Raw genomic sequence first — 26,748 nt, 5'->3', positions numbered from 1 at the left:
GCTCGCACCTGTAATCCCAGCACTTTGGGAGGCCGAGGCGGGCGGATCACGAGGTCAGGAGATGGAGACCATCCTGGCTAACACGGTGAAACCCTGTCTCTACTAAAAATCCAAAAACTTAGCCGGGCGTGGTGGTGCACGCTTGTAATCCCAGCTACTTGGGAGGCCAAGGCAGGAGAGTCACTTGAACCCAGGAGGTGGAGGCTGCAGTGCTCCGAGATTGCACCACTGCACTCCAGCCTGGCAACAGAGTGAGACTCCATCTCAAAAACAAACAAAATCTCACACACACACACCAAAAAAACCACATATTATCAAGTATCGGTTAAGTCTCACACAGACATGGTTCAAACGTCACTTAAGCCTTAGATGGATATGCTTCATGGTGCCCCAAAACAATTACAACATCAAAGATCACAGATCACAAATCATAATGAATGTAACAGTAATGAGAGTTTGAAATATTGTGAGACTCATCAAAACGTAATACAAAAGACACAGAGGTACATGCTGTTGAAAAAAATGGTACCAATACATTTGCTCAATGCAGGGTTACCACAAACCTTTAATCTGTAAAAAACACATCTGTGAGGTGCAATAAAGTGACACACAATAAAACAATATATGTCTGTATCTAAGTGGAGAGGTCAAAGTAGCAATGAATGCCAAGTAGGCAGAAAATATAGCAAGTGCTATGAGAAAAGGTGCGGTTTGGAAAGGTCTCATGATGGTGACCCTTGATCGGATCACTGGAAAGTTAAATTTAAGTACAGAGACAAAGCAAATGGCATGGACGAAAGTACACTGGTGGGGATGTGCAAAGCCTATTAAGGGAAGTGATTAGACCAATTTAGTTGTAAGAGGACTCTGTTGGAAAGTAATGATCCTGAAGAGACAGGTAAGGAACAAACAAGTCTTACAAGTAAGCTCAATGAACAATGGGGAAATAATAAAGATTTCTGAACAGGATTGTGTGGGCATAGTGTTATTTCTGTAATATACTGTAATCTAGCTGCAGTGTGCAAGGAAAGAGTAAGAACTTGGAATCAATTAGGTCACAGTGTGAAAGGGACGAAACCTATCAACAATCCATGGATGAGTTCAAAGGTGAAAATTAAAAAAAAAATATATATATATACATATATATATCTGGAGCCAGGTGCAGTGGCATGCATCTGTAGTCCCAGCTACTTGGAAGGCCAAGGTGGGAGGATAACTTGAACTCAGGAAGAGGCCAGCCCAGGTAACACAGCAAGACCTTGTCTCTAAAGAACAAAACCAAAAACCACTGGAAAGGATTTCCATGGTGAAGATACCGCAGTCTTTGTTCACGGCTATGAGGATCAATAAACACTTCTAGAATAAGATCAGTAAGCTGTATTGGTTCTACATCACGTCAGGGGAAGGCTGCCCTCAGAAGAGGAAGAACGGAGTAAAGAAGGGAATCTGTAAAGAGGGAGGCACTAGAGAGAAGTGTGCTTTGGGTCCATTTTAGGCTTAAAACAAATATGCAGACATGCAAACACTAGAGTAAGTTCTTCAAGTGTTTTTCCTGGAGAAATAATTTGTTATACTCCATCATAAAATGTACACTCTTTAGACAGCTGAACATATAATACAAATATAAACATACCTGATCTTCAGGTCAGCCTTCCAAAGTTTTATAATCTTTGCAAAGCTACCAACCTTTGACATTAAGAGGAAAAATTCAATCTCAGTGAATGAAACATCAAATTCTGATCCATTGAGATGTCCCTAGACCAATTCAGATAAATAGCTAACTTACCTGTTAATACTGTTGAGAGAACAATACTTCACAACCCATTTATGTAAAAACAAGGCCCACTTTTAGGACAATGCAGTTCCTAGTCAGAGAGAAGGGGTTGGCTCAGATAATAGTTTCACATTAATCCTTACAACACCCCTGTGAGGTGAGTTTAGCATTAATCTAATCACCTTCGTTCGACAAGGAGAGGCAATATAAACAAGGAACTGTCCCAGGATTACAGAGTAAATCTAATGAAGACATCTGAAATCACAGCATTTTGGGAGGCTGTGAGCCGATCACTTGAGGTTGGGAGTTCAATGCCAGCCTGGCCAACGTGGCGAAACCGTCTCTACTAAAAATACAAAAAAAATTAGCCAGGCGTGATGGCGTGTGCCTGTAAACTCAGCTACTGGGGAGGCTGAGGCAGGAGAATCACTTGAACCTGGGAGGCGGAGGTTGCAGTGAGCCGAGATTGCTCCACTGGACTACAGCCTGGGTGATAGAGTGAGACTCTGTGTCACACACACACACACCACAAAAAATAAATAAATAAATAAATAAATAATAAAGTTGAGAGGTCATAACAAATACAAAAACTCACTACAAAATTGTTTTCTTAGGCCTTTTCTCTCAGTTGTCTAATTGTATTTTCAGATGGAAGCAATACAAATTAAAATGCAGCTGAGCCATTTCAAGTAAAATGGATATAAAATTGTAGCACCAAAAAAGCTGAAGCCAAAAATATATTCATTTGCCATACAGGAATAGAAGTACTTTGTGATGTTATATGGGAAGCTATGCCGATATCCAGCATATAGATATTAAATCTGGAGTAGTCTCTAGTGTCACTACATTATTTTCTACGGCAATATGGCCTACTTCCATTACTCATGGGCTGAATATTTTATTTTATTTTATTTTATTTTTTTGAGACAGAGTCGTGCTCTGTTGCCCAGGCTGGAGTGCAGTGGTGCGATCTTGGCTCACTGCAACCTATACCTCCTGAATTCAAGTGATTCTCATGGCTCAGCCTCCAGAGGATCTGGGACTACAGGCATGTGCTGCCACGCCCGGCTAATTTTTGTATTTTTAGTAGATGGGGTTTCCCCATGTTGGCCAGGCTGGTCTCAAACTCCTGGCCTCAAGTGATCCACCCACCTTGGCCTCCCAAAGTGCTGGGATTACAGGTGTGAGCCACTGTGCCCAGTCTGAATATTTTATCTTATACTGTTTACCTCTTAAATCTATCCCTGCTCACTAGAATTGCCTGTCAACATTACATTGGGATAGAGAAAACTGGTGACACGTCAGCTAGTTTTGCTATTTATAGCTGCTTTGATTAAGTAGGTTTAAAGCTAACAATTAGTTTTGGACTACCCATGGAGCTGATTTTCTGCATAATTTCCCCAATATAAAGTTAATTAATATTAGATCAAAGATGACACAGGTTAAACAAGATTTTAAAAGAAAAATAAAATTTCAACTTTTTTCCCTCAAACGCCTGCAATATAACACACATCTTTGTCTAACGTATTAGTTGTCACAGGAGACATTTGGCTGACAATTTGTTAATATAAAAATTTTCCTGAGAAGTCTAGTTTACATGAACTGCCAATTCCTCTACCCCCAAACCCCTTTAAACATACAGATGAAGGATAATTTGTGTCAAAAAAATACTTCGAAGTCCATCTTTCGATTGGAGGTTCTTACACTTGTAATTCTGTTTTAGGGCAATGAAGTTCCCAAAAGTGGTCTCCAGATGCCCAACATGTCCAGTCCTCATATTCACTGGCATTGAGTATTTCCTTTCTACTAAGTTTAAAAGACCACTCAAGGCAGACCTTTCTACAACTGCATCATGGGGAGATCAGCAAATACTACTTTGTTCTTTTCAGGCTGAGAAAAACACCTGAGTTTTTGTAATTTTTTGAAAACTGTAAATATAAAAGTTCTCTTCAAGAGAAGCACCACCATCCTCATGACCTGCATTACACATCAAGGGACAGAACAAATATTAACTAAATGTTTACTTCAGGTTAAATGGTCCAATAAATCACATTTGTCTTTAACAATGCGGTAAATTTTGAAAAATCCAAAGGAAATAAAAGGGAAAACTATCATAAACTATGAAAAAAGAAGTCTAGGGAAATTGATAAAAACAGTCCAAGAAATGCAGCTGAGTATCACAATGTCACAAGGAGACTCTAGAGAAGAAGTTTTCCCTGATTTCCATTAATGCTTAAATGATCTGCTGATGTATAAATTATCTCCTGTCCCACAAACTGAAAACAAGTCACAAAATCCACATTAGAATATAAGTTTTTTAATTTTTATAAATAACTTATCTGTTACAAAGATAGTTTACCCAGCTAAATCACAAAACCATCAACTCAAGATATCCAAATTACGTTTTATTAATAAAACAAGTAAAAACTGATTTATCAATCTTCACATAGAACTGCAGATGAAGCTGAAAAACAAGGCCTATTTTAAAAATAAATTGCATCAAACGTAAGGGCTTTGGGTCTATGGTTTAATTACCTAGGATTGTCATATTTCTTCCCATATACAAAATGCAAAGCCTGAAAGTTAGGGCTCTGACATTCATAGAGATCAACTGTAATAATCCCATTTAAAACACAGCCACTTGCAAACATTTACAGTGGGTGGTAGTCTATATTATCTTCCATCCTTTGCTCTATTTCAGCACTTCCCTTAGCCCCATTCTAAGCACTCATATAATTTCATAATTCTGTCTTTTTAAATGCATACTGTTCTTTTTCTTGATTTCAGTTATATACATTCCTGATCATCTGAATATTTTCCTTACAAAAATATATCATCAAAATAAAGAGATGCTTGAGGTTGCTTCAGTGTTCAAGTTTGCTTGTTTTTTTTTCCAGCTTTTCTTCAGTTGTCCTAAATATGGCTAGCCTTGTTTTATAAATACACATGATACTGTCACCAAGTCAGGATTAGAAATGGACTGCCCCAACAGTAAAGCATTTAAACTTCTCTCCAAAAAAAGGGCTGTAGGTACTGCTGCTGTTGCTGGTTTTGAGACTGTACTTTCCCAATAACAACTGCTTGTGCAAGTTCTGTGGGACACCAAGCAGATGAAGCTTAACCTTGTTGTTCTGTCAGTGGGTTAAAAATATCTTTTGTTTTAAGCTTCCCTGTGGAAGACAAACACTGTGTTGTGTCACCCACTGCTCAAGTCAGTATTTAATGTGACCTACAGACATCACTTCTGTAATATCATCTGCAATTCACTGTGCAGCATCTGCCTGTCTTCACACAACATTGGAACTCATGAGGGCAAAGTACAGAATAAGTAGAGGAAAGTTATTCTGTGCATACTTTCATCTCATTAATGCTTTTTTATTTTAAGGCATTGTTCCTCTCAGGTAAGGCTTAAAAAGGGACATGATCGTGCTTAATTACTAAAAGGAAAAAAGAAAATTAGTTAACAAAAGGCTATTACACTATACATATAGAAATATAAGAAAATAATCAAGAAGAAAAGAAATCACTTAAAGCAGACTCGAGAGATCTGTACAGTAGGAAAAGCTTTGGGGTATTTCGCTGCACATTTGTACAGACAATGCATGCTGCTTTCCTTTGCATCTTTAGCCCCTAGATGCTGGCTTCACAGAGTGGAGACACGTTCAGGGAAGACAAAGACAAGGCCAAGAGTACCACAGATTTCTGAAGTTCTTCCCTATCCAATGGCACTATGCGGCAGCAAATGGTTCTTAAATAGTTAAACCTTGTTCCTTTTCTTCGTGTATGTAGTGTTTCACTGAAAGCTTTACAAATAAAACAAGCTATCATTCTATTCCTTCCTCCTGTCAAAATTCAGTAGTGACATGAGGGGAAAAAGGTATTGGGAACACCTAGGTGTTAACATATTGAGAATTATCCATAATGGGACACTGGTAACACTGTACACAGTTAGGCAGTGGGCAACCAAGTCTTTCAGCAGATTACTTTTCATGTGATGAATTTCAACTGCTCATGACATTATACTGAGGTATTATTAGCTCTGTGGGCTGACATTTAACATTAGCAGAACACCATCTTGTCACACCTTCAATTTGACAAAATCCTATGTAGCAGTGAAACTTTTTCCCGATGACAGACTAGTTTCTTGAACTTTAGATGTGGTTTTAGAGAAGATACAGGGCCATTTGGCTCAGAAATGCCTTGGCATCTCACACTGTTCACAGCGAATTAAGGCTGGATGGTTCAAAAAAGTACAGGCGGTACAATTCCACTGAGCTCCCTCATCATCTTCTGTGTCTTGAGTCTTTGGTGTTTTGATGATGGACCTTTGATCTGTAAGAAAGAAAAAAATTATTTTATAAGTAAAAAATCACAAAGTCTAAAAAATTACAGGCAACTTTAAACACCATTTGTAGTGCACAGCCTGATGCAGCTTGCTCCCCAAATGGGGCATCTAGCTGACACTGACACACATGCTCGATCACTACCAACCTCTATCTAGTTGGCACTTCTCCCTCTGGGAAATACAACATGAACATGATGTAATCACCTCCAATCTCCTTAAAGGAGAAAACAGCATCATTACCTACAATTTATAGTAGAATAAAGGGTATCTAATAGCAAAGATTCCCATAATACCACTCAAGATTGTAAAAAGCTGTCCTACTGCAAAACAATACTGTCAGTGTACATAAGTCTCATTAGAGTTTCGTTTCCCACTGCAGTAGTATTTATATTCGTTTTCTACCAGAAAGGGCAGTTTTTTTTGTCAATTCATGTTCTCCATCTGCCAAAAATGTAAGCCTTGGATGACACAAATAAAATATAAACTAGTATCTAACGTCTTATCCACAGACTCTGGAGAAGTAAATCTATGTAAAAATTTTACCATACTTTATTTTTAAAAACCACATTTGGTATGGTAAAGTAGAAAGAACACTAGAATTGAGAGTTGTGAGAATGGAGTTCTGTTCCAGGCTCTGCTACTAATTCCTGAATACTTTGCTCTGTGATCTCAGATAAATCATATACATTCTAGGTCTCTTTGTTTCTTACTTATAAAATAAAGGTCACTGGAACTCTAAGAGACCAATGTTCTAGAATGTTTATATGGATAGTGGTATCTTAAATACAGAGAATAATTATATTCCTCAAAGGTTATCTCTAACAAGCGATTACATTTATAAAACTACTTAAAAAAATTTGGGTCCCATAATGAAATTAGAACAGTATTCCTACAAATTAATTTTGGGAGGTTTAAAGTAAAAGGAGCATGCATTGTTGAATTTTTCCTGTCAAGGTTATTAATTTGAAGAATCAAACCTATGTTAAAACAATGTATATTAATATGCAAATTCCACCTACCCTACTGATAACTTTTCTATTTTAAAAGAGAGACTATTGTAACAAGTAAATAAAAATACAGAAGTCAAATTTTATGACAAATTTTAAATAATTAAGTGATATTTGGTACTTTGTACCCCTTTAGCAGCACCTTTCTTACTCATTGTACAGAAATTTTCTTGCTAAGTCCTCAACTTTAGGTGTTGGCTTTCCATTGTCACAATTTTTGCCACATGCACAACCAACTTGAATGGTGTTTATACAGTATTTTCCCCAAACTGAATAATTTTAAAACAAACATCGAATTAAGTCTTATCCTAAGTAAAAATATCTAAAAAAATCAAGGGTCTGACAATACCAGTTACTATGCCCTGAAACAACTGAAAAGAAATACAGTTTAAAAAACTTTTGACTTTTTACCACGTAAAATCATCTCACATTCCACATCTGGGAAACATTTTATAGAATAATTGTTTTAATCTGGGGATCCATCCTACTTACTAAAATTTTGGTCTCAGGCATTAGAAAACATTTTCACCTGACACGTTTTTAGTAAAACCTTGTTGATTCTGTTTAACTGCAAAGGTTAAAATTTTAGGAAGAGTGACCATAAGGAAGTCCCTTTTTACACTTCAATGTATTATTAAATGCCAGCAAATTTTTGATTATTTAAGTAATATCTAAGGCAATCAATAAGGGATCTATAAAATTTTTCTTAAATGAAAAATCTCCAGTGGTTTTCTTATAATCTCACTTGGTAAACTTAGAATTATGATTTTTTTTTTTTTTAATTAGAGGTGTTCGGAAACTAAATAACCAAAATTGGAAAAAAGAGGAAATTAGATCACAAACAATGGTCTAAACACATTTAATTTTAGCTGTTAAAAAAATCTCTACATTATGAAGCAGAACTGACTTCAAGGACTAAATTTCTATTCATGAAGTTAATGTGTATTTTAGCTTTATTGCAAAAAATTATTGATTCCTTATTTCTCCCAAAACAGCCAGCATACAAACTTCTATCTTTCATGTAAAAACTTTTAAGTAATGGATGTTTTTATTGGACCTTTCTTATTACAGAAAATTTCAAACATATATAAAAGTAGAGAGGACAGCAAAATGAACCTTCATATACTCATCCCACTTCAACAACTGTCAAGACCAATTTTATTTCACTTATGTGAAATAACAGATTATTATTATTCTGAAGTAACAGATTATGTTGAAGCAAAAGAGGAAACTTTTCATAAGAAAAAATTCTTATTTTTCAAAAAGGGTAGGAAGATTATACTAAGGAAAATCATTCAGTGTCTGAAAAACACATCTTGCATATTTTAGAGTTAGTGCTTATACCGCTGTCATCTCTACTGCTTTATTCAATTAACATCCAAATAGCATCTAGTCTCTGAACATTTGCTTACTGTGTCAAATGCCCTAATCTCACTCTCATCCTCTGTAATAACTTTTCATTGTATTCCAGCTATATTTAAAAACATTTAAATAAAATATGAGGACAGAGCTACACCTAATTATACATAAAAATGAAGGAGGCTGGGCGCTGTGGCTCACGCCTGTAATCCCAGCACTTTGGGAGGCCGAGACGGGTGGATCACTTTAGGTCAGGAGTTCAAGACCAGCTTGACCAACGTGGAGAAACCCCGTCTGTACTAAAAATACAAAATTAGCTGGGCGTGGTGGCGCATGCCTGTAATCCATCTACTTGGGAAGCTGAGGCAGGAGAATGGCTTGAACCTGGGAGGCAGAGGTTGTGGTGAGCCGAGATTGCGCCATTGCACTCCAGCCTGGGCAACAACAGCGAAACTCTGTCTCAAAAAAATAAAAAATAAACAAACAAACAAACAAACAAAAATGAAGTAGAGTACAAAAATTAGAATGTGAAAGGAGAATGTGAAAATTCTTGTAACAAACTAAAGACCAGTAATATACTAGTTCTTCCTTGTTCCCATTTCTTTTTCTTTTCCTGCAATAAAACTTTATTGACAAAAACAGACGGCAGGCTGGATTTGGTCCATGGGTCACTGTTTGCCAGCCACTTGTCTAAAACCCAGTTTAACATGGTATTCCTACCAGTATGTAGACATGTGAACAACTGCCTGATTCATAAAATGTCCTAATTTTGTTTTTCTCAACCTCTCCTTTTCCTCCCCTACGTAAGGCACTGAATTTCTCAATGACAGTAACCATACATTTTTTTAGGGTGTCCTGTTCAGCTTCACAGGAAAAATGTACATTTTCCTATCCATAATTCATACTTTCCTAGTCCTACAAACCTTAATGTTTCTTATGAAGGAAGAAGTAACACAAATAATTTTTATCTCTGAAGACATTTGAAAATACAAACATATGGGGAACAAATTGTAAGTCTGGAGTATTTATTGCAGCATACTAGTGAGGATGATGTAACACTATGAGTGCTGACCTGATTCACCACGTGTTTGCTGACTTCCAGAATTTGTGTGAATGAAAACTTGTTTTGCTGTCTTTGTTTTGTTTCCCCCACAACTTTATGGATGTATAGCTGACAGTTAAAAATTATAAGCTGTACAACTTGATGATTTATGTATATACTGTGAAAAACTTATTACAATCAAGTTAATTAACATATTCAACACCTCACATAGCTTATCTCCCCACCCCCCACCGTGGTGAGAACACTTAAGATCTCCTTTAGCAAATTTCAGTTATATAATAAACTACTGTTAACTACAGTCACACTGTTGTACACTAGATCTCCAGAGTTTATTTATCTTATATAGTTGAAACTCTGTACCCCTTCGACCACAATCTTCCCATACCCTCTTCTCCCAGCCCCTGGTAACCACCGTTCTGCTCTCTGTTTCCAGGAGTTTGATATTTTTGAATTCTACATATAGGTGAGATAATGCAGTATTTGTCTTTCTCCGGCTTATGTCACTTAGCAAGACATCCTCCAGGTTCACCCATGTTATCACAAATGACAGGATTTCCTTCTTTCTTAAGGCTGAGTAATATTCCACTGTGTGTGTGTATCTCTCACGTTTTCTTTATCCATATACAGAAATTTATGTTGTTTTCATATTTTGGCTATTGTGAATAATACTGAAAGGAAAATGAGTGCAGATATCTCTTTGAGATACTTACTGCATTTCCTTTGGATATATGCTCAGTAGTGCGATTGCGAGATCATACAATTTTAAAGTTTTTGAACCTGCATGCTGTTTTTCATAATAGCTGCACCAGCTTACATTCCCATGAAAGTGTACAAGCGTTCTCTTTTCTCTTTGTCCTCATCAATGCATATAATCTTTCACCTTTCTCACAGTAACCATTCCAATAAGTTTGTAAGGTGGTATCTCACTGGGTTTTAATTTGCATTTTCCTGATGATTAGTGAGGGTGAGTACCTTTCAATATACCTGTTGGCTATCTGTATACTTTCTTTTGAGAAATGTCTATTCTGGTTCTTTGCCCATTTTAAAATCTGGTTATTGGTTTCTATTACTATTGATTTGCATGAGTTCCTTATACATTTTGAATATAAACCCTTTAGGAGTTAAATAGTTTGTGAATATTTTCTCCCTTTCTGAAGGATGCCTTTTCACTGCTGATGATTTCCTTTGCCGTGTAGATGCATTTTAGTTTAATGTAATCCCACTTGCCCATTTTTGCTTTTGTTACCTGTGCTTTTGGTGTCATATCCAAACTATCATTGCCCAGACCAGGTCAAGAAGCTTTTCACCTATGTTTTCTTCTAGGAGTTTTATGGTTTCAGGTCTTATGTTTACATTTTTAATCCATTTTGAGTTTATTTTTGTATACAGTGTGAAGTAATGGTTCAATTTCATTCATCTGCATGTGAATATCCATTTACTGAAGAGACTACCCTTTCCCCATTGTGTTCTTGGCACGCTTGTCAAAGATAAGTTGACCACAGACACATGGATTTATTTCTGGGCTCTCTATTCTGTTCCATTGGTCAATATGTCTGTTTTTATGTCAGTACCATACTGTTTTACTATAACTTTGTAATATTTTTAAAAATCAGGGAATGTGATGTCTCCAGCTCTGTTTTGCTTACTCAAGATTGCTTTGGCTATTCAGGGTCTTTTCTGGTTCCATATAATTTTAGATTTTTTTCTGTTTCTGTAAAGGATGTCACTGGTATTTTGACAGGGATTACATTGAATCTGTAGACTAATTTGGGTAGTAAGGATGTTTTAATAATATTAATTCTTCCAATCCATAAACACAGGCTACGTTTCTATTTATCTGTGTCTTCTTTAATTTCCTTCATCAATGTTTTATAATTTTCAGCGTATTCCTAAGCACTCTTCTTCTTGCTATTGTGAATGGGATTGTTTTCTTGATCTCCTTTTTTGATAGTTCCTTGTGTACAGAAACACAATTGACTTCTGTACATTGTTTTTGTGTCTTGCAATTTTACTAAATTCATTTATTACTTTTAACAGTTTTTGGTGGAGTCTTCAGGGTTTTCAACATATATGATCATGTCGCCTGCAAACAGATAATTTTACTTCCTCCTTTCTGATTTGGATACCTTTATTTTTCTTGTCTAATTGCTCTGGCTAGGTGATATAGTTTGGATGTTTGTCCTCCCCAAACCTTATATTGAAATGTAATCCCCAGTGTTAGAAGTGGGGCTTGGTGGGAGGTGTCTGGGTCCTGGGGATGGATCCTTCATGAATACCTTGGTGCAGGTTTCTCAATAATGAGTGAGATATTGCTCTGAGTTCATGAAAGATCTGGCTGTTTAAAAGGTGTGGCACCTCCCACTGTCTCGCTCACCATATGACATGCCTCTGCTTGCTTCCTTCACTTTCTGCCATGAATAAAAGTTCCCTGAAGCCTCTCCAGAAACTAAGCAGATGTCAGTGACACGCTTCCTATACAGAAAGCATGTGGGTATCGGTGACATGCTTTCTGCAGAACTGTGAGCCAATTAAACCTTTTTTCTTTATAAATTACCAAGCCTCAGGTATTCCTTTACAGCAACACAAAAATGGATACTACATTAGAACTTCCTGTACTACGTTGAAAATAAGTGGCAAGAATGGCACCCTTGCTTGTGCCAGATCTTAGTGGGAAAGCTTTCGGTTTTCTCCATTGATTATATTACCTATGGGGTTTTTATATATGGCCTTTATTAAGTTCCTTCTATATGTGTATGTGTATGTGTGTGTGTGTGTGTGTGTGTGTGTGTGTGTGTATATATATGTATATATATGTGTGTGTATATATATATATATATATGTGTGTGTGTGTATATATATATATATATATATATATATATATATATATTTTTTTTTTTTTTAGACAAGAGTTTCGCTCCCGTTGCCCAGGCTGGAGTGCAATGGCGTGATCTTGGCTTACCGCAACCTCTGCCTCCCAGATTCAAGCGATTCTCCTGCCTCAGCCTCCTGAGTACCTGGGATTACAGGCATGGGCCGCCAAGCCAGGCTAATTTTGTATTTTTAGTACAGACAGGGTTTCTCCATGTTGGTCAGGCTGGTCTCAAACTCCCGACCTTAGGTGACCCACCCGCCTCGGTCTCCCAAAGTGCTAGGATTACAGGTGTGAGCCAGTGTGCCCGGCCTGAGAGTTTTAATTATGAATAAATGCTGAACTTTTTCAAATGCTTTTTAGCATCTATTAAGATGACTACATGGTTATTCCTTTCATTTTACTTCAATGTGTGTGCTGTATCACATTAACTGATTTGTGTATGTTGAACCATCCTTAAGTCCCAGAGATAAACCCCACTTGGTCATGGCGTATGGTCCTTTTAATGTGCTCAGTTTGGTTTGCCAGTATTTTACTGAGGACTTTTTGCGTCTATGTTCATCAGTAATATTGGTCTGTAGTTTTCTTTAGTTGTAGTGTCTTTGTCTGGTTTTGGTACCAGGGTGAGGCTGGCCTCAGAATGAGTTTGGAAGTGTTCCCCCTTCTCATTTTTGGAAGAGCTTAAGATGGGTTGGTATTAATTCTTGTTTGAGTGTTTGACAGAATTCACTCATGAAGCCATCCAGTTCTGGACTTTTCTTTGTTGGGAATTTTTTTTTAAATTTCTAAATCCATGCTGGATATTTGTTGGGAGATTTTTGATTACTGATTCAATCTCCTTATTTGTTATTGGTCTACTCAGTCTTTCTAATTCTTCTTGATTCAGCTTTAATAGGTGATATCAATTTTTTTTGGATATTTTTTGGATAGGAATGTATCAATTTTTTTCTAGGTTATCTAGTCTGTTGGCATAAAATTGTTCCTAATATTCCCTTATGATCCTTTTATTTCTGAGGCATCTGTTGTCTTCATTTTCATTTCTGATTTTGTCTCCTTTTTTTCTCAATTTATCTAGCTAAGGGTTTGTCAATCTTGTTGATTTTTTAAAAAACCTCTTAGTTTTACTATTTCTTTTTCTGTTGTTTCTAAATTCTCTATTTTTGCTCTAATTCTTATTATTTTCTTCATTATGCTAACATTAGGCTTAGCTTGTTGTTCTTCTACTGGTTCCCTGAGGTATAATTGAGATCTTTCTTTTTTTTTTTTTAATGTAGTATTGTTTATCTCTAGAAACTTCTCTCTTAGTACTGCCTTTGCTTCATCCCATAGGTTCTAGTATGCTATGTTTTCCTTTTTGTCTGAAGATACTGTTAAGATTCCCTTTTGATTTCCTTCTTGACTCAATGATTATTCAAGACTGTGTTTAAATTTCCACAAATTTTATGGTTTTCTTGCTGTTACTGATTTCTAGTTTTATTCCACTGTGGTTAGAAAAAATACGTGGAATGATTTCTATCTTCTTAGGTTTGTTTAAACTCGTTTTGTGAACTAACATATGATCTATCCTACAGAATGTTCCGTGTGTGCTTGTTCAAATCAGCTGTTTCTTTATTCATTTTCTGCCTGGATATTCTATTATTGTAAGGGGGGTATTGAAGTCTCCTACTATTGCTGTCAATTTCTGTCGTCAGAACTGTCATTATTTGCTTTACATATTAATGTAGTCTGATGTGGGGTGTGTATATATTTATAATTTTTATATTTTTCTGTGGAATTGATCCTTTTACCATTACATAATAATCTTTGTCTCAAGTTTTAGACTTAAAAATCTATTGTTTCTGATATAATTATAGCCACTTTTGATTTCTTTTAGCTACCATTTATATAAAATCTTTTTCCATCCCTTCACTTTCTGCCTATGTGTGTCTTTAAATATAAAATGAGTCTCTTGTAGATAGTATATTATTGGATCCTGTTTTTATTTTTATTTCATTTTAAACAAAAAGTTTATTTAAATAAGAAGCCTGACTTGAAGGAAAAACTTTCTAGGATTCTTTCTTTTTTTTTTAGAGTAATTTATCCCTACTTAAAGACAGATTGCCCTACATGTAACAGCTATGTACACAAAAGTTATAAAATTGTCCTTGGTTTTACAATGATAAATGAAAAACATGAAAATCCTCCAATTGAACAAGGTATGTGAGAATTTTTTTTTGTTGTTGTTAAAACAGTGAGAGCAAAATAACTTACTAGAATATAAAGATAAGACCTGAATGAACATGCCACTAATGGATAAAGGGGGTATTTTCACAGAATCAGTATTTTTTCCCATCCTGTCTCCACTTGATGTCAATCAAAACATACCATTGGCTGTTTGGTTTGAAGAAAAAAGCAATATGCTTGTGTACACATACCAGTTACTTCATGTATAATAAAAGAATGTGGAAGGGGGAAACAAAAGAATAGAGAAAACTATACTGTAGTAGTCAGAATGTGGTGGAACCAAATTGCAGTTTTCTAATTGAGAATGCAGTAATCTTGGTCTTTAAAGAACAGCGTTCTGGAGTAAAGAAGCAGGTTCCCTTTTCAGTAGACACCTCCCGTAGGCTGTTGAAACACATCAATTGTATCTTCATCTTCCATTTCCAACTGTGCAGGTTTGTCTGTTCCACTGATTGGTTGCCCACCAAATCGGAATCTGATCTGCTTCACTGACAATCCCCGTGGTTCACAATAGGCTTTCATTAGTTTACTAAGTGGTGTCTGCCTCTTAATCTTAAACTGCACCACAGAACCATCCTGTCCCGCCACCTTCAAATTAATATGATTGTTGTTCTCAGTCTTGACTTCTTCTGTGGGCTTTTCGTTGGCCATGGTGAACACCGGAGTCTCCTCAGCTGCTGCTTCACAAAAGAGGTGGCGGGTCCGCACCTAACGAGTACACGAGCAGCAGGAAGAGCAGCAGGAGGTGACAGCGGTGGATGAGGGAGAGGGTGCGTGCACATCCTGGGCTCCCTCCCCTCCCGCTGTGTGCGCCAGCACGAGCTGTTGGGGCCTCCCATTGGCTGCTGCCAGATCCTGTTTTTAAAATCCATTCATACAACTCCTTGTGAGTGGTGAGTTTAATCCATTTCCAGTTAAGGTAATTACTAATAAGTGAGGACTTACTATTGGCAGTTTGTTGCTTCCTGTCTATTTGACAACTGTTTTGCTCCTCTTTTCCTCTTATTGTCTTGTTATTCGACAACGTTTAATCGTGATTTACTTTGATTATATTTGGTTATACTCTTCTATTTTAAGTTGATAACAACTTAACTTCAAATGCATACAAAAATACTACTGCATCTTTACAACCTCCACCCTCCCACACTTTTGTGTTCTTGCAGTTTTCTTCTTTTAATATTATGTATCCATTAACACATTTTTACCTTTTAACTTTCTTATTAGAGTTGAAAGTAAATTATATACCACGGTTAAGTGTTAATCTGTAAATATGTCTATATTTTTACCTTCAGCAGTGATATTTATGTACCTGTTTCCATTTCTACACACATTTTAATGCCTGGATCAAAACACACAGACATACTTTGAAATGTCTTAGTTTGGTGTGCATATATTCTGAGAATATCAATGATGTAAAATGATAGAAGGTAGAAAACTATTCACCTGGAATTTAGGGTATTTTGATTACTTAAAGTTATATATAAATTAAACTAAATACTCATGGGGGGGGGGAACTTCCCTAAGGTATCTTCCTTATCATTTGTCTAAAGTTTTAAATGATACAAATTTTTGTACTTAGTAATTGTTTTTTAACCAAGACTTGCTATTATTGGTTGGGAGTACATAGTGTTTCCTAAGCTCGTGCATATTACTTTTAAAAAGCTAAGAATATTACATCTTTGCATCCTTCCCAACCCCAAGCATGTAAATGAAAATAAGCAAACATCTTCTTAATGAATTCATTTAAGAATGCCAAAGTTTGAAGCAATTCTAGAGAGGAAGGTTGCTGAACAGGAAAAATTTTCTAAAATTTTGCTTTTCAAAAGTAACAGTTTTCACATTTAATGGATACACTAACCTTTGGGTTTTGGTGGCACAGGACCTACAAATCCAATATTGTCATAAAAGTTATGAATAGCGCTGGGGTTAAAATGTGGTCCTGAAATATATAAAAAGTAAATATATCAATGCTTATAGCTCAAAAACAACTTTACTTTTTAAAACAAGTATTTCTTTCTAAAAATAAACACGCTATAAGAAATGCTTTTCATTTATTTTGCCCCTCTAACCTCGAATTATATGTAAGATTTCAAAACATATTTCAAATATATTATCTTAGGTATAATGTAGTACTCATAAACACGGGTAAGTGGTAAACTGTGAAAGAAGTCAAATTAATGCTGGTAAGACATTAATAGAAGTAGAAGTAGATCCCTGTTCTATGTGGCAAGTTAAAATAACTTAAAATTTCACAATTTAAAATGTAATTTTAAACGATCAAACATGGACTTAAGTAACTAAACAGCTTTACCTCAAGTAAATATAAAAACCTTGCACTATGTAATAGAATGGTTAAAATTTTACACAAAAAGAGTAAGTTCAAGGATTGTAGTTTCTAGAACAGCACCAACTTTTTAGAGTTAAATTATGGTATTTTTCTATGAATGTTTAAAGATAAATAGCTTAATCAACATTTAAAAAGAATAAAAATAAAAATAATCATCTTCCAGTTGAACAGATTCTAGAACACAGTCCCAAGTGTGATTAAAGACTTCTCTTTTGGTTAGATTCCTTCCCCTTCCTGTCTTTTCCATTTTATATCTTTTTATTATTTATCCAACTTCAGAATTAGGTTTAAGTGATAACATTTCCTTTTAGTTCTCTATGGAACTGAATTAAATTGTAAACATTATTTACTATAAGAAAACATTGCTTGTCATTAATAGCTCAAGTATAAGAAACTATCATTGTCTAAAGAATGTATAAACCTTATTTTTACTATCTTCTATATTTTATCAGTTAAGATAGTGCCATTGAGATGGGGGTGACTTTTTAAATATATTCTTAAAAGTCTGTCTGGCTCCAAAGCCACATGTTCTGAGACAGTAAGATTATGATTGATAAGTCTGTTTTTAGCCACAGAAAAACTGCTGGTGAATTAAATACGATGAATTTCAGCTACAAATACACTGAACTTTACCTCGGGCTTGAAAAAGATCAATTTCTTTGGTTAAGCAGTCAATGTCAATCTGGAGTTGTCTATTACAACTTCTCAGCTGCTGCATTTCTTCAAGCTGAAAAATAATTCTATGTAAGTAAGATTTGCACTGAATTCTTAGTCATTAGTTAATAAAGAATGGAGTTTGGCACAAGAAAGTAAGGACAGAAAAACAAGAGTTAAGAACATCTGAAGAAAACTAGATAGAGATATTACACTTATGTTAGATGGCCTACTCTCATGTTCAAGCAGAGATCACAACAGTTACATAAAGACTTACGGAAGGTATCTGGGATATAGAATTTGATCTTTTCAGGCGCCTTCGAGTTAGATTATTTTCCATTTCATTAACCTCAGATTTTAATTTATCCAGCTTTTTCTTTTGAATCTCAAGTTCTCTTTGAAGTCGTTCCATTCTGGCCTTCTGGTGTACCAAAAGAGCTGCAACACACATTAGTAAACATGAGGACCCACCCACTTTAATCAATTAACCTTTAAGCAGACTTGGAAAAGCAAACAAGAATTTGTCAGAAATCCCAAAGCTACATTAAAACAAAATATTGTAAGTTTAGGCATTTAAAATTTCAATTTTTTTTTTTTTTTGACACAGAGTTTTACTCTTGTTGCTCAGGCTGGAGTGCAATGGTGCGATCTCGGCTCAGTGCAACCTCTGCCTCCTGGGTTCAAGTGATTCTCCTGCCTCAGCCTCCCAAGTAGCTGGGATTATGGGCAACTGCCACCACACCCCACTAATTTTGTATTTTTAGTAGAGATGAGGTTTCACCATGTTGGTCAGGCTGGTCTCGAACTCTGGACCCCAGGTGATCCGCCTGCCTTGGCCTACCAAAGTGCTGGGATTAGAGGCTTGTGCCACTGTGCCTGGCCAAATTCCAAACATTTTAACTGAAAAATTGTTTTAGTCATTTAAACAAATGCCACTTTTTAAATGTTTTCTAGGATTTGGAGAAATTCACTTTATGAATGAAGACAGCATTTTTAGGCTACAGCTTCTCTAAAGGTTTTCGTCTTTTCAGTTAACCTACTTACTACTGTATCTAATTCACATCTACCCTCGGAAAGGACAAGCTCTCTTACTTCAGAGTTTGTCATGTTTGGTCTATGAATGAAGCATTCTAATATGAAAATGTTATAGATATTTTAGAAGGGAATGTAGAATCCATTTTGATGTATGCAACAAATAAAACAGGCAGATTGATTTCACTCCACATAAATGTTAACATTAAATTATCCCAATTGCCACTTATATTTTTGTATATTCAGATTATATTTTGTGAAAATATCTTCCAAGATCTTTAAAGAAACAAAATAAGCAATCAATCCTGCAGCATGAACTACTTGGGAAACCATAATAAACTACAAATACTGGTATATGTTTTTGTGATCTGTCCCTGGACATGAATCTCATCCTTTAGGATACTGGACTGGAAGTGAAGATACTTGAATCTACTTTTTATAAAGAAACAACATGGGATGATTCTATCTTGAGAAAAATAAAGCAGATTTGGAAAAGAACTTTAAACAACCTCTAGAAATAAAAGTCACTGAAATGAAAAAGCCAAACAGATTACAGTAGATTACATACAAAGACAGTTGGTGACCTGTCAGATAGATGTAAGAATGTTACCCAGAATGCACAGATAATGTGACAGAAAAAATGAAAGAAGAGTTCTGAAAGGTCTCACAGACATCTAAGAAAAAAATTCCAGGCTGGGCATGGTGGCTCACACCTGTAACTCCAGCACTTTGGGGAGGCCGAGAAGGGTGGATCATCTGAGGTCAGGAGTTCGAGACCAGACTGGCCAACATGGTGAAACCTCGTTTCTACTAAAAATACAAAAAGTTGCCGGGCGTGGTGGTGGATGCCTGTAATCCCAGCTACTTGGGAGGCTGAGGCAGGAGAATTGCTTGAACCCGGGAGGCAGAGGTTGCAGTAAGCCGAGATCACACCACTGCACTCCAGCCTGGATGACAGAGTGAGACTCCAACTCGGGGGCGGGTAGGGGGAGACAGAGAGAGAAAAGAATTCCAGAAGGAGACAACAGAGAGAATAGACAAGAGGCAAGATGTGAAGAGATATTGGCTGAAAATGTTTCAAAATTGAAGGGAAAAAAGGAAGTAACAAATTTTAGAAGATAAAATAATTTGTTCACCTAATTAAATTATACAAGAATACAAATGAATAAAGGTATTTCCAACAAAGTCTGGGGAAATTCAACAATCACAGATAGCTGCTGAAATAACTACTCAATATATGTTCTGATAAGAAGGAAATTAAACACAAAAGAATGGAATAAGATGAGTAAATCTAAAAAAAAAAAGCTCTGACAATAAAACAAAGGAAAAGACTATGGCAGGGCAGGGGAGCAGCAGACATTGTCTAAAACAAAGTGAAAATAAAACATTGGAAAAGAATAACAATACACTGGAAGTGCAAAAATCAGAGGTGAAGTATTCTAAGGTCTTGAAGGTATTTAAGAAGAATACAGTTAAATGTTGCTAAGCCAAATATACATGTTCAGTATTTAGGGATCTGTGCTAAAGGAAGTTAAAACAGAATGTGCAGTTTCTAAATTCAAAGACAGAACCTAAGGAGAAATGAGGGAAATTTAATTAAACCTAGATAGCAGGAAAGGAGGGGATAAAGGAAAGAAATACAAAACAAAAACCAGACAGGGATAATTCCAAATATACTAGAAATCACAATGAATGCAACCTAATTAAACATATCTGTTGAGATGAGATCAGTAGACTGAATTGTAAAACCTCAGCTATATGCTGCTTATAAAAAACACTCAAAACATAATTAACTTATCTATTATTTTAATAAGTTGAGGGTCTATGTGTCAGATGTTGTTGTAGGCATTTTGGAAGTCCATGAACAAAATAGGAAAAAATCCTTGCCCTTGCGGAGCTCACGTTACCACGGTAGCAGAGATTGGGGCCAGGGAGTAGGGCAAGAGAAAGACTCTAAACAAAGGGTAAACAGGTAGGCAAACTATGGCCCATGGGCCAAATCTAGCCCACTGCCTGTTTCGTCATTAAAGTTTTATTGGATACAGCCTTGCTCATTTGTTTACTTGTTGTCTATGGCTGTTTCCATTTTACAACAGCAGAATTAAATAGTTGTGACAGAGATTATGTGGCCTACAAAATCCTAAATGATTACTATCTGGCCCTCTACCAGATCACGTAGAGCCTTGCTGACCATATTAAGGACTCTGAATAAAATGGGGATCTATCATAGCACAGACAGGTTCAAAATAAAAGGACTCAAAATAAATATCTTGCACTTCAGGCACTACTCTAAGAAGCATAAAGTAATAGCAGTCAATTGCTGGAAGTATCTGAAGACTGTGGTGCACTGAAGGCAACAACAAAACCCAAACCCAGCTCCACTCCTGACTAAATTGATGCAATGCCTCATAATAATAACCTGAAAGAAAAAGAGATGTCCTCATTTCTGGGTGCAAATACCATTTACTTTAGTCTCCTCTGTTCCTTTACACATAGTGTGTGGCATTCAATAAAAAATTATGAGACATACAAGCAGGAGAAAAATGTAATTCATCATCAAGAGATAAAGTGATCAACAGAACTATACTCAAAGATGATGCAGCTGGAATTACCTGACAGAAAACTTAAAGATGTAACTATGATTAATATGTTAAAGGATCTAGTTTAAAAGGTGGACAGCATGCAAAAAAAAGATTCACAATTTGAGGAGAGAGGTGGAAATCATGAAAGGGTCAAATGCTAGAAATAAAAAATATGGCTAGAAATAAAAAATTCTTATCAGAGATAAAGAATTCCTTGGACAGACTTAACACACTGGACACAGAAGAATCAGTGAACTTGACAACAGAAATTACCCAAACTGAACACACCAAGAAACAAGTGAAAAAAAGAACAAAAAAAACTTAAGAGTTGCAGAACAGTATCAGTCTATGTGTAACTGGCAAAAGAGGAGAGAAAAAGGCAGGAGAAATATCTGAGGTGATAAAGACCAAAAATTTTCCAACATTAATGAAATACAACAAATCACAGATCTAAGAAGCCCATAGATCACCAAATAATGCTAAAACAAAACACCTAGACACATCACAGTCAAAGTGCTGAAAACCAAAGAAAGAAAATCTTGAGGGCAGCTAGAAAAATTTCATATAATTATTTCAGAAAAAAATCTGACTTTAGGGCAAAACATATGAGATAAAGATGTTCTTTACTTAATGATAAAAGGAAAAAATGCTAGTATGCAACTCTGCATGGAAAATCATAAAAATAATCTAATTTATTTTCCAACAAATACATCATAAAGTATACATTCCAGGATAAGGTTGAGCATTCTCCCAGTCACAGCTCCACCAGCAATCCCCAATCCCATATTCCTAATGTTTCTATCAAAACAAGCAAGTAAATCATAGAGTTTGAGAGATACACAGAAGGCCAATATTAGTAGGAGACAGACTTTAACAGCAGGCAGAAATCTGATTCAATGATGATTTAGGAGACTTGAAAGAGCCACAGTTGCTACACATATGGTTGTGAGGTGTTTTGAGGTTAAAGAGTAAATTCTTCAGAATATTTCTGAATAAGTATTGCATCCTTAGAAATTCACAAAGGGGTTTTGCAATGGCTGAAGATGTGGCTTACCTCTGAGAATAAAGGCAAAGTATCTCTTATGATTAGTCTGAAGCTCTAAAGTAAAATATTGCAAATCCATTTACAATTACTTACAACTTATTTATGAGGCATTTCTTTCCACTTTAAACAAAATTTTAGAGTTATAATGACTATATTACTTAGAAATGACATACCTAGTTGGTTGACTTGTCTAGGTATGGCTGTTATAAACAAACTAAAAATGCTATGAATATACTAGGAAAGTGGTTCTCTATTTCTTAGCAATTTTTTCTTCTAAGTGGCTGAATTTTTATGTGTTTAGTTCACTTTTCATTTGTGGTTTGAGATTTTTAGATAGGAATCTGAGAAAGATGAACTACAGGGAAAAAAGGGGTCAAAGTGAATTTCTAAAAATCGCTGTAAAAATTCAGCTAAAGTCGAAACTCTTCTCTAGCTGTGAGTTTTGTCTGCAAGTTTAACCTTGAGTTTACAAAATAACACCCAATATTTGTCCATTATGAAACAATGTGATTAGACTCATTATGAAACAATGTTAGTAGATCATTAAACAGCAGAGACACTTTTGCTCTAATTAGCCTCCACTAAATGAAAAAATCTTCTGTCTCCTGAAACCCCATAAAAATGAGGTATGAATGAAAAAGGTACAATCCACCAACAATTAAGAAAAAGAAGGCAATTAACTCACAACAGAAGTCAACAAGTTTCTGGAAGGCTAGAAGCAGATGAAATGACAGCTGAATGAAGGAGTGGAGAAAGCTGAAGTCTCATGGACAAGGAGGGTGCTGTAGACAAAATGGCAACTCATCTGCCCTGCAGAAACCTTGACTTTGGAAAATGCAGGTAACAACAGAAGGCAGGAGTTAGGAAAGGGCCAGAACACAGAGGCTTAAGTAGCTATCTGTATATCGAACAGTCAACTTCTCTCCATCCTAAAGGGAAGGTAGCTGTAGGTTTAAGGATCACCTCATAGTTGAAGAAAATCTGATATGAAGGCAGGTGGATCATTTGAGGTCAGGAGTTCAAGACCAGCCTGGCCCACATGGTGAAACTCTATCTCTACTAAAAATACAAAAATCAGCCAGGTGGTAGTGGCGCGTGCCTGTAATCTCAGCTACTCAGAAGGCTGAGGCAGGAGAACTGTTTGAACCTGGGAGGTGGATGTAGCAGTGAACTGATATTGTGTCACTGCACTCCAGTCTGGGCGACAAAGTGAGACTCTGTCCACCCCCGCCCCCCCGCCCCCTGCCAAAAAAAAATAAAATCTGATATGAATGTGAAAGGTCTGCATAAACAAAGAAAAAAACTAAATCCAGATTAAGTGAAGACAACATAGCAGAGAGACGAGAACTTAAATTCTGATTAATATCATTAAGAGATTTTAAGACACTATTGTACCCATAAAACAACAACCTTCCTCGAAAAGGAATCAGAGAACTAGCTCTTGGAAATTAAAAACATCACTGCCAAAATGAAAATTTCATATGTGAGTCGGAAAAAAATTTAAGGAAATCTCCTAAAATGTAGAATGGAAAGACAAGGAGGGGCCGGGTATGATGGCTCATGCCTGTAATCCCAGCACTTTCGGAGGCCTAGGAGGGAGAGTCATTTGAGCCCAGGAGTTTCACCAGCCTGGGCAACAAACGGAGATGCTGTTTCTACAAAAAAATTAAAAAATTAGCCAGGCATGGTGGCGCGCGCCTGTAGTCTCAGCTACTCCAGATGCTGAGGTGGGAGGATCATTTGAGCCTGGGAGGTCGAGGCTACAGTCAGCTGAGATAGCACCACTGTACTCTACAGCCTGGGCAACCGTGACACCCTGCCCCTGCCCCTGTCCCTGATACCCCCAAGAAAGACAAAGACGTGAAATATACTGAAGATGTAACGAGAAATAGATAGAAAGCTCGTTCAGGATATTAAATAGCTAAACAAGAGGAGGTCTAGAAGGAGACAATGGAGAAACCATAGTGGGGATCAGAAAAGAATTTCCCAGGGCTGAAGGGAGACACTAGCCTCTAAAATGGAGGAGTCCACTAAATGTGGGACAGGATGATTAAAAAAAACCCCTACACCATTGTAAAATTTCAGACTACTAAAGACAAAGAAAGATCTTAAAAATTTCCAGAAAGAAAAAAAAGTAGATTACATACAAAGGTACAATAATCATATTGACACCAGATTTCCTCAGTGATAAGGAAATCACTACATTTTTCTGTGGAGAAATGATATTCAACCAAGAATTCTATGTCCAGCTAAAAATATGAGGGGATTTCCAGATATTTAAGGACTTAAGAGAATTTACCTCCCAAGTCTCATTAGGAAAATACTTAAAGACATGTTCTAGCAAATTGAAGGCATAAACCAAGAAGGAAGATAATATAAGATCCAAGAATGGCGACTGTAATTTATAACAGGGAAGAGAAGACTCCAGGAAAAATGAACAGATGGTATCTTGGAGATGCTGAAAGGATATGATAAAGGCAGAGAACAACAACAACAAAAATTAAAAATTCCAAGGAAAACAGATAAATGACTGGGCTTTGCAGTGAACAGATGATGAAGGAATTACAGGTAAAGAAAAAAATATTCAGTATCTTTTAAATCCTCTTTCAAAGTTAAATTTTAATGGATAAAGGTAATTTAAGCATGCAACTCTCTCTTAGTTGTTGTTAAAAATAAGTGAGTACTAAGTGAATTCAAGCACCAGGGCTCTTAAACCACTGCTATAAGCATTCTAAATGGTTTATACAGAAAGCTCAGTACTTACCCAACTTTTGTTAGCTCACGAACAATGGAGAAAATTTCTTCGTTACTCAATTTTATTTGAAATTTAAAAAACACTCTTGAAGTTCCAGATGGTGTTAGTTTTATTAATTTTAGTTATTTTTTTACTGTAAATAATGTCAAATTTCTCCAGAAGTTTAAAAACAAAAACACGAGAATTTGCTTACTGAGAAAAGACATATGTCATTGGAAAATATACTAGGGACTTGTAGATACAAAGATTTTAGGCTTCTTTAAATGAAAAAGGAAAAATTTTGCTATTGAAAAACCTAATAGGTACTTACTTCTGGTATCTTTTTGTTTTTTGTCTGTAATGACAATTTTACATGTCTAAATCAGGAACAAGCCTAAGTCATACTTAAGTCATTGTACCTAGGAAAGTACAATGTCAGCTTCTAAAATAAATCAAGATTTTTCTAGGCTGTAACTTTGTTGACAACAGGAATCACATCTGTTTTATATATCACTGTATTACCATAGTCACTTATTTGGTGACTGAGTCATAAAAGATTCAAAGATGGCAATTATAACTTTAAAGCAAACTTTTAAACTATTTTGTCATTTTTAAAGGCAATTTGAAATCAGATCTTGTAACAGTGCTGCAATTGGGCCCATAATTTGGGCAATAGATGTAAAATAAAAGTATGAGGAATGATGCTTAATCTCTGTAATTATTTTTAAGAACCTACTAAGAGATGAATTTTAGTCATTTTAGCATAACTGGTGAGACCTCTTGCTAGATAATAATTTGCTGGCCTTTATTTTACATAATTAAGATTCTGCATGTAATCTTACAGCATTAAGATATAATCTAAAACTTTTATTTTAGACAGAATGAAAACAGGCCTAGATGCACCAAAAGAGCCTCAAAACAATATAACTTGGATGAGTCATTATGCGACGTGGGAGTGATTATGGCTTAGAAAGGTTTATACCTTTTTTTTTTTTTTTTTTTTGACACAGAGTTTTACTCTTGTTGCCCAGGCTGGAGTGCAATGGCGTGATCTTGGCTCACCACAACCTCCACCTCCCAGGTTCAAGTGATTCTCCTGCCTCAGCCTCCCCAGTAGCTGGAATTACAGGTATGTGCCACCACACCCAGCTAATTTTGTATTTTTAGTAAAGACGGGGTTTCTCCATGTTGGTCAGGCTGGTCTCGAACTCCCAACCTCAGGTGATCTACCCGCCTCGGGCTCCCAAAGTGCTGGGATTACAGGCATGAGCCACCATGCCTGGCCAGATTTACAATTTAAAAGAGGATATGTTCAAGTTTTGAAGGGATGCCATGAGACCAGTTCAATATGGTTTCAAGGTAATACTAAAGAGAAAATAACGGTAAGATTTCTGGGGCTGGGTGCAGTGGCTCACAGCTGTAATCCCAGCACTTTGGGAGGCCGATGCGGGTGGATTATGAGGTCAAGAGATTGAGACCATCCTGGCCAACGTGATGAAACCCCATCTCTACTAAAAATACAAAAATTAGCCAGGCGTGGTGGTGCATGCCTGTAGTCCCAGCTACTGGGGAGGCTGAGGCAGGGGAATTGCTTGAACCTGGGAGGCAGAGGTTGCAGTGAGCCGAGACTGCACCACTGCACTCCAGCCTGGGTGACAGAGCAAGACTCGATCTCAAAAAAAAAAAAAAAAAAAGATTTCTGTTATTCTTTTTT

General features: G+C 36.3%; 2 protein-coding genes across 13 annotated transcripts in view; both read right to left on the bottom strand.

The window, feature by feature from the left end:
• TAB2 (TGF-beta activated kinase 1 (MAP3K7) binding protein 2) overlaps positions 4,076–26,748 on the bottom strand; it is a 193,682-nt gene continuing 171,009 nt past the window's right edge. For all 12 annotated transcript variants that reach the window (NM_001292035.3, NM_001369506.1, NM_001292034.3 and 9 more), the window contains 4 exons: positions 17,919–18,079; positions 17,621–17,714; positions 16,499–16,579; positions 4,076–6,106 (listed from right to left, as the gene is read on the bottom strand). In NM_001292035.3, coding sequence (NP_001278964.1) covers positions 5,964–6,106; positions 16,499–16,579; positions 17,621–17,714; positions 17,919–18,079 — 479 coding nt within the window. In that variant the 3' untranslated portion in view covers positions 4,076–5,963. The remainder of the gene's footprint in view (positions 6,107–16,498; positions 16,580–17,620; positions 17,715–17,918; positions 18,080–26,748) is intronic.
• SUMO4 (small ubiquitin like modifier 4) lies at positions 14,405–15,421 on the bottom strand. Its single transcript, NM_001002255.2, has one exon. It carries the CDS (start codon positions 15,289–15,291, stop codon positions 15,004–15,006), a length of 288 nt encoding a protein of 95 aa, NP_001002255.1. The 5' UTR covers positions 15,292–15,421; the 3' UTR covers positions 14,405–15,003.

Source organism: Homo sapiens, chromosome 6 (genome assembly GCF_000001405.40).
Source record: "Homo sapiens chromosome 6, GRCh38.p14 Primary Assembly".
Classification (NCBI taxonomy): Eukaryota; Metazoa; Chordata; class Mammalia; order Primates; family Hominidae; genus Homo; species Homo sapiens.
The sequence above is the reverse complement of the archived record's forward strand: the minus strand, read 5'-3'. Positions and strand labels throughout refer to the sequence as shown.